The following is a 12,844-nucleotide window of genomic DNA, read 5'->3' as shown; positions in this document are numbered from 1 at the left end:
TTTGTGAATTTGGGAAGAGCTTTACATTCCTTAAGACATTTAAAGAATCCCCCACATCTGGGTGTCAGCAGACACTCTTGAAAAGAGCATGGGAGTTTGGGGAGTTGCCTTACAAACCCCCTTTTCCCAGAGAGGCATTTGGGTGGTGCAGGGGTGGGGTGGGGGTCTAGGCAGTGTTTTCCTTTGTTCAGCAGAAGGTGGAGCATCCACAGAAAGAACACAGAAAAGGCATTCAAAGGTGTGCTACTCTTGAGGTCAGGAGTTCGAGACCAGCCTGGCCAACATGGTGAAACCCCATCTCTACTAAAAATAAAAAAATTAGCCAGGCATGGTGGCATGTGCCTGTGGTACCAGCTACTCGGGAGGCTGAGCCATGAGAATCGCTTGAACCCAGGAGGCAGAGGCTGCAGCGAGCTGAGATCGCACCACTGCACCCCAGCCTGGGTGACAGAGCGACACTCCATCTCAGAGCAAATCGGTCCAGCAGGACCCTTATACCTGAAGAGCAAGCAGCCAGCCTCCGGGCTCCGTTTGGCCCTTCCTCTTCTGCCCTAGAGATGGAGACCTTAGTGGCCAGCCCTTGGTAAAGAGGTTCCTGGTCACCCCGAGGCTGCCAGGAACTGACGGAACTGAGCGCAAGTGGACAATGCTGTGGACCAGCTGGAAAGCCAGGCGGGCCCTGTCAGTGAGGTTGCTAAAGCATTGCTAGAACTACCTAGGGCTGGAGAGAATCTATTTACTGGAATTCCTCTCAGGGAGCATTCCATAAGTGTCTAGAAGGAGTAAGTTGCTAAGACTCTTTGCATGTGCATGGTGGTGATAGGGATGGGGAATTTTGAGCAGTGAGACCTCTAGGGCCAGCCTGACAAAAGACAGCTACATCATGGCCTTCTTAGGAGGGTGGCCCAAGTGGGGTATGCCAGTGTGGCTCCAGGCCCAGTTCTTAGGCCCGGGAGGTAATTCTGAGGCTGTCCCAGCACTTGGGCCCCCTCCTTCATCCTTCTCCTGTCCAGCACACAGCTTCTCCATGGAACACGCGTTTGAAGAGTTTGGATTTGAAGAGGTGTCCAAACTGCTCTGCTCAGGATTCCCATACATTCTAGTGTGGCCCTGAAGCCAGGCCTCAAACCCTTGGGCCGTTCCAGGGTCAGCCAGCCAAGCCCAAAGCCCTACAGGGACCACAACCTGCCTCAGAAACAGCCTGCCTTCAGTCACCCTCTGGCCTCCCAAACCTGAAGATGGAGAGATTCTCCAAGGTATTGAGAAGGCTGCTGCTAACACACTCCAGAGTCAGCAAACTCTGAGAGCGAGGCACAAAGAGCTCTTTCCCCCAGAAAAGGAGGCACAAGCCCAAAGGAAAAAAAACTGGGGCATAGGTTCAGCCATTCGACGTCCCAGAGGCCACCCCAATGAAGAGGAAGCGGCCTGGATTCTGACTGTGACCAACCCAGGATCAGTGGGGCAGGGCAGCCTATAGGCATGGGGACAGGTCTCTGCTCAGTAGAAGAACCTGACAGTGGCAACCAGCCAGTGCTGCAACAAACCACCTGGGGCTGGGCAGGGGGCAATGCATTCCCCACAGCTATGGTTGAGTGAGTGCCTACTGCATACCAGGCACTGTGCTATAGCCCGTATATGCACCCTCTCATTTCATTCTCACAACAACCCTTTGAGGGAAGGACTATTGTCCCAGGTTACTGATGGGGACATCAAAGTACAGAGCAGCAAAGTGACTTGCCCAAGTTCCCACTGCCAGTTGGTGGTAGAGGGTGGCTCAGAAGTCCGTGCTTTTCCTACTGTCTTCCCTCATCCAAGTTATTCTTGCCACTAGCTAGTGTAAAACAAGAGAACGTTCACAGCTAAGATGATGTAATTCTCAGATCCTCACTCCTTTCGGGAATAGCTGGGGAGCTGCTGTCCACCTCTGGCCCTCAGAAGAGGCTGCCAACTGCCTCTTCCCTACCTCCTGCTTCAGCAGGCCTGCCCCCCAACTGCCCCCTGCATAGGCCTGCTGCCCATGGCATAGGGGACTGACTGCACCAGGGAGAAGTGAAAAGGCCAGCAAGTTACAGGCTGCAGCTTTCTTTCATCTCTCCTCTTCGCCCAGATCCAGCAGAGCAACCACCTCAGCAACTTTTGCAGCCAACCAGACCCAATTCCCAAATGGCCAGCACTTTTAGCAAAAGAAGGGACCTGAATGACTCACAAATGGGGTAATATAACTGTACTTTGTGGCTGGCATCGGAGTGTCAAAGGGGAAGGCTGTGTGGTCCAGCTCCTATCCCATCCCCTCTCCCCAGGCACTGGATGGGCTGAGCAGTGCCCAGCCCAGAACAGCCTCCCCTGGGAGTCTCTAATCTTCCCCGGTGCTCCTGCCAGCCAGTCCCCAGACCCCAGCAGTCCACACTCAGCTCTACTTGGCTCTGGCCCACATGGAACTATACAGCATACAACAGCTTCTGCCGCAAACATCCCCTCTATCGCATCCGCCTGGGGCCAATGTTAAACACCAGTGTGCTGCCCCCAGGCACAGGCTACCCAATGGCAGAGGTGAACGCATGCCAGGCAGCATCAGGGAGGCCAGCCCGAATTAAACCTTGCCATAGGCAAACCGAAGAACAGAGTGCAGAACTGATGGGCCACGCTTAATTTGGCTCTGTCGCTCTACACGAGCACTGTCAGACCCACTCAGCAGACCCAATGACATGCCAAGGGGGAGAGACATTCGGGCACAGGTCCCCGCTTGCCAAGAGCTCATTGCCCAGAGCCAAGTTGGAAGCTCAGGCTGGCCCCCAGCTCAATGCAGAGGCTCAAGGGTCTAGGCTGGCTGAGGGGAAACGAGGCAGCCAGGCCACAGCCACTGTCAAGGCCCTTACCTTGCTGTCCGGGGGTGATGCTGCCAGCTGTTGCTGCTTGGCGATGTTCTCCGACAGGCACCAGCACACTCTCTTCTTCTGCTCCTGCGAGTGCGCTTCCAAAGTGAATAAGCACTCTGCCTTCTGACGTCAGGGAAAATAGAGAAACGGACGGTCAGGGCTGCTCCCTGGTTCAGGGGGCTCCCAGGCCCAAGCCCATCCCTGGGCTCCAGAGGGTGAGGCTGCAGCCAGGAGGGGAGTGTCCGCCAAAAGCCGCAAATGCACACTAATCCCCAGTGACATTGAGGCAGCCAGAGGCGCAGGGAAGTGGGTTCAAGGGCCAGCTGGCGAGCTGTGGGCCCACAGGTTGGGGGAGGGGAGGAAGGCAGTGGCTCCCAACACAGCAGAGGCCTGTGGAGAGCAGGACAGAGCCGATGAGGTCACCCCCAGGGGCAGGCAGCACAAAGCAGCAGCTGAGGGAGCACGTGGGAAGCCCAGAGGGCCAGGGCCTCAGGCTGATTCTCTGTGGAGCCAGGAACCCTCCCCACCTCCCCTGGCTCACAGAACCCATCTTCCTCACAGCGCTCTTCTCTGATCCCAAGGCCAAGGCTGAACGGGTGGTTGGACGGGCATACCAACAGAACCCAAACAGCAACTCAGGGTCCTTTGGAAAGTCTTTGACGGGCAGAGTCATGTGGCCCTCTGCAGCCCCACTGCCCAGCACATGATCTTGGTCTAATCTGTGACTGTTCAGCTCACTCGAGGGCAGCAACATCCCAGGCACTGCTGACATTTAGGTCCCGCTTCGCTATTCAACCTTGTTAAGTACTACAGTCTCGTCTCCCCAACTAAACTACAAACCCCTCCTAGAAAGGCCTTTTTCATCTAGGCCTCATATAGTGCTTAGCAAGCAATGGCCTTGGTAAGCTCTGGTTGCCAGGAAGGACTTCTGGGATAAGGTCAAATCCAGGTCAGCTTTGGCACAAGCACCAGGGAGCTTCAAGGACCCAGAGAGCCACCCCTAAAGCAGAGTGTGCTAGGGGCGGGGTAGGGATGGTGGTACATGCCCAGGGTTGCCACCCACAACCGGGTACTCTCATCAGGGGAGTACAAGCTCTGTCTGCCTCCACTAGAATTTGATTATAACCCCAAAGGGCTGCGATTAGATGAACTCAGCCAGGGAGCTAAGAGCATCAGCTGATCCCTTGGAACAGAAAAAAAAAAGACAGTGTTTCTATCCAGCCCTTTCTCATTTTGCAGTTGGACAGGCCTGGTTTGAATCCCAGCTGTGCCACTTCCCAGCTGTCAACCTCAGGAAAGTACCAAGCTGCCTGTGAAATGGGGATATAATGGCATCACCTGGCTTTCAGAGCTACTAGGAGGGCAAGCAAGGAGGACAACAATCAGGCCTCAACAAACAGTCACTAGTATTACTATTCAGTAATTCATTTGTTTAATAACTATTTATTGACTGGGCGCAGTGGCTTATGCCTATAATCCCAGCACTTTGGGAGGCCGAGGCGGGTGGATCATGAGGTCAGGTGTTCGAGAACAGCCTGGCCAACATGCTGAAACCCCATCTCTACTAAAAATACAAAAATTAGCCAGCGTGGTGGCATGTGCCTGTAATCCCAGCTGCTCAGGAGGCCGAGGCAGGAGAATCACTTGAACCTGGCAGGCAGAGGTTGCAGTGAGCCAGGATCGCACCACTGTACCCCAGCCTGGGTGACAAAGCCAGACTCAGCCTGGGTGACAAAGCAAGACTCAGCCTCGAAAAAAAAACAAAATAAAATAACTATTTATTGAGCACCTGCTCTGTGTCAGAGACAGTCCTAGGCATTGGAAATAAAGAGGTAAATGAGACAGACTAAGCCCATGCTCTCAGGTTAGGGGCAAAGACAATAATATTTGTTATTTATACAAATAAACAATTAAAGAAATAATATACAGCCCTCCCTATCCATGGTTTCTACAACCATGGAGTCCACCAACAGAGGATGGAAAATATTTGAAAAAATATTTTAGGCTGGTCACAGTGGCTCCCATCTGTAAACCAGCATTTTGGGAGGCCAAGGCAGGAGGATCATTTGCGCCCAGGAGTTCCAGACAAGCCTGGGAAACACAGTGAGACCCAGTCTCTACCAAAAGTTTTAAAAAAAAATTAATTGGGTGTGGTGGTGTGCGCTTGTAGTCCCAGCTACTTGGGAGGATAAGGTGGGAGGATTGCTGAAGCCCAGGAGCTTGAGGCTACAGTAAGCAATGATTGTGCCACTGCACTCCAGCCTGGGCGACAGGGCAGACCTTGTCTCAAAAAAAAAAAAAAAAAAAATTCATCTGTACTACATATGTACAGATTTCTTTTCCTGCCATTATTCCCTAAACAATACAGTTTAACAACTATTTATACAGAACTTACATTGTATTAGATATTATAAGTAATCTAAAGATGATTTAAAGTACATGGAAGGATGTGTATAGGTTATATTAAATACTACCCCATTTTGTGTCAAGGACTTGAGCATCTTTGGACTTTGGTATCTGTGGGGTCCTGGAACAAATCCTTGGTGGATACTGAGGGACAACTGTAATTACAACTTGTGAAAATGTCACCAAGGTCATAAAGGGAGAGGTCATACTTGAGGTGATCAGAAAAGGCCTCTTAGAAAGGGCAACACACAAGCTAAGGCATGAACGGTAAGAAGGGGCCAGCAAAAACAATGTTTGGGAGAAGCTGTTCCAGAAGCAGCGAAAGCAGGCCTTGAGCTGGGGTGGACTATCACATCAGCTGATAATATCTAGGGACTTCTTCTACCCTGCATCCAACCCAACCCTCAGGAATGCCACCCTTCAGAGTGGGGGCACTTCCCATGCTGAGTGCCAGCCATTCCTCTCAGGCCCAAAAGTGCTCAGAAGTTGATCTTCCTAAGAGCATCTGGGGAAAGAGGAAAGAAAGCCCTGCCTGCTGGTTTCAGGGAACTGGGTGGTGCGCTGAGGCACTCCTGGAGCTTCTACTTAACAACAGCTTCCCTCCGCTGCCCAGAGTCCTCTAGCCCATGGCAGGGGAAGGATATGGCCAGCAAAAGACCCCAAGATTTCCCAGGGAGAAGCCGGGTGAGGCAGATGCTGACCAGAAGGCCCTCTGCTCCCTGTCTCCAGTGTTCCCATGTAAAGGTGGGGGGTGAGGCAGGAACTGTGGTCCCTTCCAGCTTGGAAAGGCCATCACTCCATGAAGCTGGCCCTGGCCCTGGCCCGAGCCTCCCAGCCCTGCTTCTACCCAGTTGGGTGGGCTTCAGCAGATTCCTTAATCTCCCTGGGCCTCCATGTCCTCTTTTCTTTCTGTTCTGAAGCAGGAATTCTGCCTTACTAATAATTCCTTTTGTCTGATTATCAATTTTAAAAAGAACTTTCCAGCTGGGCACGGTGGCTCATGCCTGCAATCCCAGCACTCTGAAAGGCTGAGGCAGGCAGATCACCTGAGGTCAGAAGTTTGAGACCATCCTGGCCAAAACGATGAAACCCCGTCTCTACTAAAAACACAAAAATTAGCCAGGCATGGTGGTGTGCACCTGTAATCCCAGCTACTTGGGAGGCTGGGGCAGGAGAATCGCTTGAACCCAGGAGGCGGATGTTGCAGTGAGCTGAGATCGCACCATTGCACTTCAGCCTGCGTAACAGAGTGAGACTCTGTCTCAAAAAAAAAAAAAAACAGAATTTTCCCACCCACGATCTCATGCTGATCTTGGCAATGCAGTGAAGAGGCAGGAAGGGCATGGATTGTTGTCCCCATTTTATGGAAGGGAATGGCCAAGGTTCAGAGCAGCTAAGGACCTCCCTGAGTCTCATCGCCAATGAGGAGCAGAGCTCCAGCTCAAAGCCTTGGAGAACCACATGCTGGGATCTCATCTCCAACACCTGGGGAGGTCTCATCACCTGGTCAGGCTGCCACACCTGTGGCTGGCAGGAATGCTCCCTCTTGCAGACTGGACCAAGAGGCGACCAGAATGCAAAGCCTCCAGGAGAAATTCTGTAGGTAGCTGGGTCTCAGAGCAGCTGCAGAGTTCGCTGGCAGCTTTTTGTATAACTGTCCACTGCTCTAAGCTCCAGGATGGTGTCCCCCTCCCTACAAAAGTATGAAAGAGCTCCCCCCATCCTGGGAGGGCCTCTCACAGTGAGAGAGCCACCTACCCTCAATACTGAGGCAGCCCCCTCAAATCCCATGCCCTGCACAGTGCTAAGCCCCTTACCAGTGATACCTCGACATTTCTTCCAACGACACTGCAAGGTAATAGCCATGATTATGCCTGTTTTGCTGACACCACAAGAACCACCCTCTGCTGCCCTGCCCCATGGGAATCTCCTTTGGAAAGCCATTATTTCTTCACCTGAGATGGTGACCGTATTGCCTGTCTCAACAGCAGAGTGTAGGGCTGGGTCTCTGGCTCTCAGAGCTTGAAGCTGTAATACTAGAGGACCCAGAAGGCTTCCAAGGCAGGGGGCAGAGCTGGCTGGCTTAGATGGGCAAACATTTTCGGGAGACCTAAGCTTTGGTCTCTCTCTCTCTTGGCCAAGCCAAGAGAGAGAGCACTAAGCCAGCTCCCTCCAGGGAGGCTGAATTCCCATCTGCCTAAATCTGTCTAAATTGGGGACACTCATTACCTTCCTGGCTTCCCTCACAGGTAAACCATCTCTTTTAATCCAGGGTGTGATCCAACTCGTCAGTCCCAACACTGATGCCCACTGTGCCCTCAATAGCAGGCTCTGTGGTCAAGGCCATAAGCCACCCTGAAGGCTTCCTCACATAACTCACTCAGACGGTGCCTCCTGACTATGGGGTGGTCAGCCAAGCACAGACCTTTCAGATGCACTGGCCCTGGCCCAGAAGCACTGGGCACAGACCTGTGCATTTAAACATGGGCATCCTGAAATCCAACCAGACACCCAGCTCCTCTTGGCCTCTTTAAAATCCCGCTCTTGCCTTACCTCCTTGCTCCTGAATTAACTGTATCTTTGTAAAAAACAAAACCTCTTCAGCCATAAATTAAGTTGGTTCATTTGCTTTGATAAAAATTCTGTCATTTAATTCAGTTCTCCTAATGACCCTATGACATAGGTAGGAAGGAAAGCAGCTGCTACCATTTTTCAGATGAGAAAACTAAGGCTCAGAGAGGTTATGTCACTGGCCCCAGGAGGTCTCGGGAGAGGAGAGATTCACTGTTTGTCTTCTGCCTCCTCCAGAGTCTGTGATCTTACCATATTTGTATAACTGTATATGCACATTACAAAGAATATGAGCTATTCCTCTTAGCTTTCTTCTTAAAAGACCAATAAATCATTTGTGATTTCTCTAATGGAGAGTAAATGAATATGAAGAGCCCTTCCCCTTGTTTTGAAACTGACAATAACAATAGCTACCATTTATTGAGCGCTCACTGTGTGCCAGGCTCTGTGCTAAGTGCTTTGGATGCAAGTCTTATTGAATCTCATTTAATCATTACCACAACCCTGCAGGGTAGAACCAGCCCCATTTCAGAGATGAGTTTGTAACTGGCCCCAGATCACTCAGAAAATGGCAGAGCCAAGATTCAAATCTAGGTTTTCCTAACTCCAAGACTCTTAAATTAATGGAGCCAACATCAGATTCTAGGTTAGAGAATAGTCCCTGACCAATGTGCCCATGGACCCAACTGACTTCAGAGCCTTCTGTGTTCTGAAGCCAATTGTGGGCTGCATCTGTCCAGTGTATTTGCAGGAACTGAGAAACACACCTGTCCAGGCAATAGAGACCCAGAGCCCAGGACTACTTTCGGATAACACCACCCAGGATCTTGCAGCTAGAGAACAATCAGAGCTGCCATCACCCAGGCAATTGGGCCTTTCTCAATACAGAGTCAAAAAACTTCTCCAAATCCTGACTCTCTTTTTCTTCTCTGGATGCCACCTGCATGTCAGGCAATGAAGAGAAATCACTTGTCAGAAGTTCCAACTAAGATGTGAGTTTCAGGCTCTTGATAGGATCCAAAACCACCCATGTTAAGAGTGGTCCAGGCTACAGAGCAAGAAGGCATCTTGTCTTCCCTGAATTATAGTACTTCTTCTAAATAGCAACCCATTAAGAGAAGAGAGAGGCTTCTAGCTGCCTGTAAGCTCAATCCCACAGCCCCTGGAGATCAGATCACCTGGCACTTTACTGAAACAAAAAGCCGCAAATCAATATCCCTTCACAATCTCTGGAAGCCAGCACGTCACAGATCCCAGGAAACTAATGGAGCAGAAGTCCTTTTCTCTGGGAAAAAACTAACCCAACCTGGAAGGAAGCTCTATTGGCATTAAAGAACCTGGAGCCTCCTTTCAGGAACTGCCCCAGAGAATCAGAACCCAGTGTGGTGAGGCTGGAGGAAGAGCCTAGCCTGGTCATGGCTTCTCCTCTCTGCTTGCTTGGCTCTGTGGAACTAAACACCCTCCAGCACTGAAGTGATTCCATCAGCCACTTCCTGTGCTCCGGGGGAATGTGCCTGACACAGGGGAGGACATCCAATGCCCTCTTGGCCCTCAGGTCTGTATTTCAGGCAGCCCAGTTCCCCAGCTGAGCCCCAGCAATGTCCACTGCCTCTTTGGAACTCTCTGCCCTCCGCTAAAGCTAACTTCTCATCAACTGTCTTCTCCTCCAGGGGGCTGTTCAAAAACTCTCTCTAGGCCTTGCACTTCTTAGCCAGGAACTGAAAGAATGATTTTCAATCACAAACTGTGTACAGTTCCTTCTCAAAGGGGTGTGTTCCTCTTGGCCAGCCAATATAGACCATGTCCCACCTCCCACAAAACAGGTTCCCTGGACTGTTGCATGAGACAAACTTAAGCGAAGGCAGAGGCAGGAATGTGTCTAATGCATCCTTGCTTGAACAGACACCGCCCTGCAGTGAATAGAAAATTCACCGAAAATTGAAAAGTATTTGTATAGCTCAGTGGCTCTCAACTTTTTCATCTTCAAGGATCTCTTGGGTTAAACCCCAGCCTTAATGATATTTTATCTACCAAACCAAATCAAGTAATAAGTTACTTGCCAGATGTTGCTCAGCAAAGGCACAGCACTGCCTATCTAAGCTTCTGATCAGACTGAGATAACCAGGAATCTCAACCACACTGAGTGGGTATCATTCCAGCCTGAAACCCAGACACTGGATGTTTGTTTTAGCCTGTATTATCTGGCCCAGGTAAAGGTACAAATACCTTCAGGCCTTTTGAAACACTGACAAGACCCTGTACAAGGGGTCGTTGGTGGTACTTCCTGGAAAACGTGGAAGCAAGAGGCAGGTACAGGAATCAGGGCGATCTCTAGAGGAAGGGCTATTAACCAGTAAACAGGGTGATGCACAGTTGCCCGGCCACACCCCCACTGAGATTCCTGCAGTTCAGGAGGTCCTGCACAGAAAATCTCAAGGGTCTGTTCTAAGCACTTTCCTGTCCACTGCTCTTTAACACAGAGGTGAGAGAGGCAGGGGCAGGAATGGCTAGTCCCATTCTACCTAGCAAAAAACCGCTACTCTGGCCTTGCCCAGGACTTCGGCATGAGTGGGTATGGAGGCTGGCATCAGAACACTGGTCTAGATCCCAGCCCAGTGTCTCCCCTCAAGCACCAGGTCGAAGATCTCTCTCCTCAAATCCAGAGGAAAGGACTCACCTCTGCTAGATAGAGCACGCAGAATTTCAGGTCTTCTGAAGAACCTTTGAGGGAACAAAAAGTAAGATTTGCATTAGAACTGGATAAAGAGCCTCAGCAGTTTGCTCCAGCACAGTCAGCTGTCTTGCCCAGAAGGCTGTGTGTGGCACCTCCTGGGAAAAGAGAGAGGCAGGCATGGGAGGCAGGGAAGTCTCTGGAGGAAAATTGGCTACGTAACTAACCAGGGTAATGTACAGCTCTAAGGCATTTGCCTGCGGGTCAGCCTGGCCCAAGGAATGCTGAAACCTCATCCCCAGGAGAGGTAGCCAGCAGCACCCTCTGGGCATCAGGTACTGGGGGGAGCCCTCATCCATCCCAGGAGGCCTCCTCCCTTCCATGATTTCTGCAGTGAGAGACCTGGAGGCAGCACACATCTGGATTTTCCTTTAAATGCTCCAACTGCCTTTGCCATTTTGAAATTCAATAGGGAGGCTTGTTTTCCGCCAAGGAATGGTGGGCTGTGCAGGTGGATACCCTGTCATAGACTGGGTGGAGCCCAGAGACAGCTTCCAGGCCCAGGCTTCACCTCTCTGTATGTTTTCCTATAGCCTCCTAACCCCTAGTCCAGGATCCCAGTTGCAACCATTCACTAACTCCCCTCCACCTGGGAGGCATCTGGGAGGGCTGTCAGCAACTGCCTCCTTCAGCAGAGGAGCTAAGGTCCAATGTCAACGCCGAGGGAAGGTGATTGCTCAGAGCGCTTCAGAAGCAGGAGGACCAGGAGATGACACCCAGCTTCTGGGAAAAGCTTCCTGAAGGAGGGCCCTGTTGAGTTTGGACTCAAGGTGGGAAGAAAGGACATTCCAAGAGAAGCACAAATTGTGTTCAAGGAAGAGCAAGTGCAGAGAAGCAGCCTGGTCCCTCCCTCCAGGACACCTGCCCTGCCCACTGCAGCCACTCCTCAGGGCCTGGCAGCACTCCCGCTTAGGTCACTTGTCTGGGCACGGTCCTGGGATGGTTACTCCCTGTGACCGTGCAATGGGTCTCACTAGGCAAACTGTCATTGTTGAGGGAAGCAACCACGCAGCACGTAAAACAGTAAATGCTTAAAGGGCCACAGGACCTTAGCGCACCACAGTGCTCCATGCCAACCACTGTTCCTTATGCTTCCCATGGATATGCTTGACCCTCACAACAACCCCTGGAAGACAGGGCTCTTTTCACCCAAGACTCTTGAGAAAACTGAGGCACAGATGAATTGAGTAACTTGCCCAGGAGTAAGGAAGAGAATCAAGATTTAGACCCAGGTAGCCTGGATCCAGAGCCCACACTCCTACCACTACACAGCCCACCTCTCAAATGCCCACCACATATGCCCTATCCAGCTCCTCTGTCCTCTCAAAGCACCAGGCCAGTGCTGGGCTCAAGGTAGAACCCTTAACACATACTTGAAGTAAAGAAATTGTCAAAGACAGCAAAATTAGTTGCAAAGAGAAGACAGCAAGATAAAAATAGAGACTGTGGGTCAAGTCAATTCCTAAGAAAAGCAGTGAATGAGGGCCCTGGTGTGGGTGAAGGCCAGGCCCCCTCGAAGCAAGGTATATGGGCAGTTCTGAGACAAAGCTATCCCTAGGGCCAAGGGCTGCCAGGCACAGCCAGATTAAAAAATCTCCCTTATGTAAATGAGGGTTCACTTCGGACTTAGGGAGAATAAATCTTTCTACTTCTTCCCACCTAGCGATGGACTGGGGAGGGAGGGAGTCCTGCCTAAGAAGTCCATCATGTTTAAGAAAACTGTAATTTCAAAGCTTCTGCTGGTTCCTTGTGTTGCTGAGGGTGGAGACAAGAGGAGGTGGTTTCTTTTGTTTAAGAGAACACACTGGGACATTTCTTTGGCCTTCCAGAAGCAGATCCTAGTGCCAAGTAAGAGTCAAAAGGATCTATGTAAGAAAATAACAGAAACTTGGGGGTTAGAAGCTGGCGGCAAGAAAAGAGAAGGTTCTAGAAGGGAGAGGAAAGTCCAGGAGATGAGAGCTGCAGGGAAATAGGAGGCTGAGGTTGGGGGAACACTCCCTGAGACATATTTCCTATGGCAGGGAATGGTGGATGGATTGCCTTGACAACTTTTCTGTGCTGTGACACCCTTGCCTCCTTCCCCAACCTCCCTGCATTACTGCAAACTTTCTCTGAAATCTGTTCCACGTCACAGCCTTGTGCTGGCAGTACTTTGAGAGGAGGACGGAATGGGGGCAGCACTCAGCATGGTTCAGAGCCTCATAAAAGAACAACAAACTGAGGAAGCCAAGGGTGCCGGAGAGGAGCTGCAGCTGTAGAA

The 12,844-nt window shown here is 51.1% G+C and overlaps 1 protein-coding gene across 8 annotated transcripts in view, besides 1 other annotated feature; it reads right to left on the bottom strand.

Moving 5' to 3' along the window:
• RGS3 (regulator of G protein signaling 3) overlaps nt 1-12,844 on the bottom strand; it is a 153,009-nt gene that overhangs the window by 57,944 nt on the left and 82,221 nt on the right. For 7 of the 8 annotated variants that reach the window (NM_144488.8, NM_001282923.2, NM_001394167.1 and 4 more), the window contains 2 exons: nt 10,531-10,574; nt 2,877-2,999 (listed from right to left, as the gene is read on the bottom strand). In NM_144488.8, coding sequence (NP_652759.4) covers nt 2,877-2,999; nt 10,531-10,574 — 167 coding nt within the window. Of the gene's footprint in view, nt 1-2,876; nt 3,185-10,530; nt 10,575-12,844 lie in introns of those variants that run through there. The other variant, NM_001276260.2, reaches the window with a different exon arrangement.
• Nucleotides 3,024-3,775: an enhancer, noted in NCBI's record as "H3K27ac-H3K4me1 hESC enhancer chr9:116298300-116299051 (GRCh37/hg19 assembly coordinates)". NCBI's record gives its function as "activates a minimal SCP1, AML or CMV promoter by ChIP-STARR-seq in naive H9 embryonic stem cells {active_cell/tissue: H9 hESC(naive)}" and the evidence as "EXISTENCE:reporter gene assay evidence [ECO:0000049][PMID:30033119]".

Source organism: Homo sapiens, chromosome 9, assembly GCF_000001405.40.
Source record: "Homo sapiens chromosome 9, GRCh38.p14 Primary Assembly".
Taxonomy (NCBI): Eukaryota; Metazoa; Chordata; class Mammalia; order Primates; family Hominidae; genus Homo; species Homo sapiens.
The sequence above is the reverse complement of the archived record's forward strand: the minus strand, read 5'-3'. Positions and strand labels throughout refer to the sequence as shown.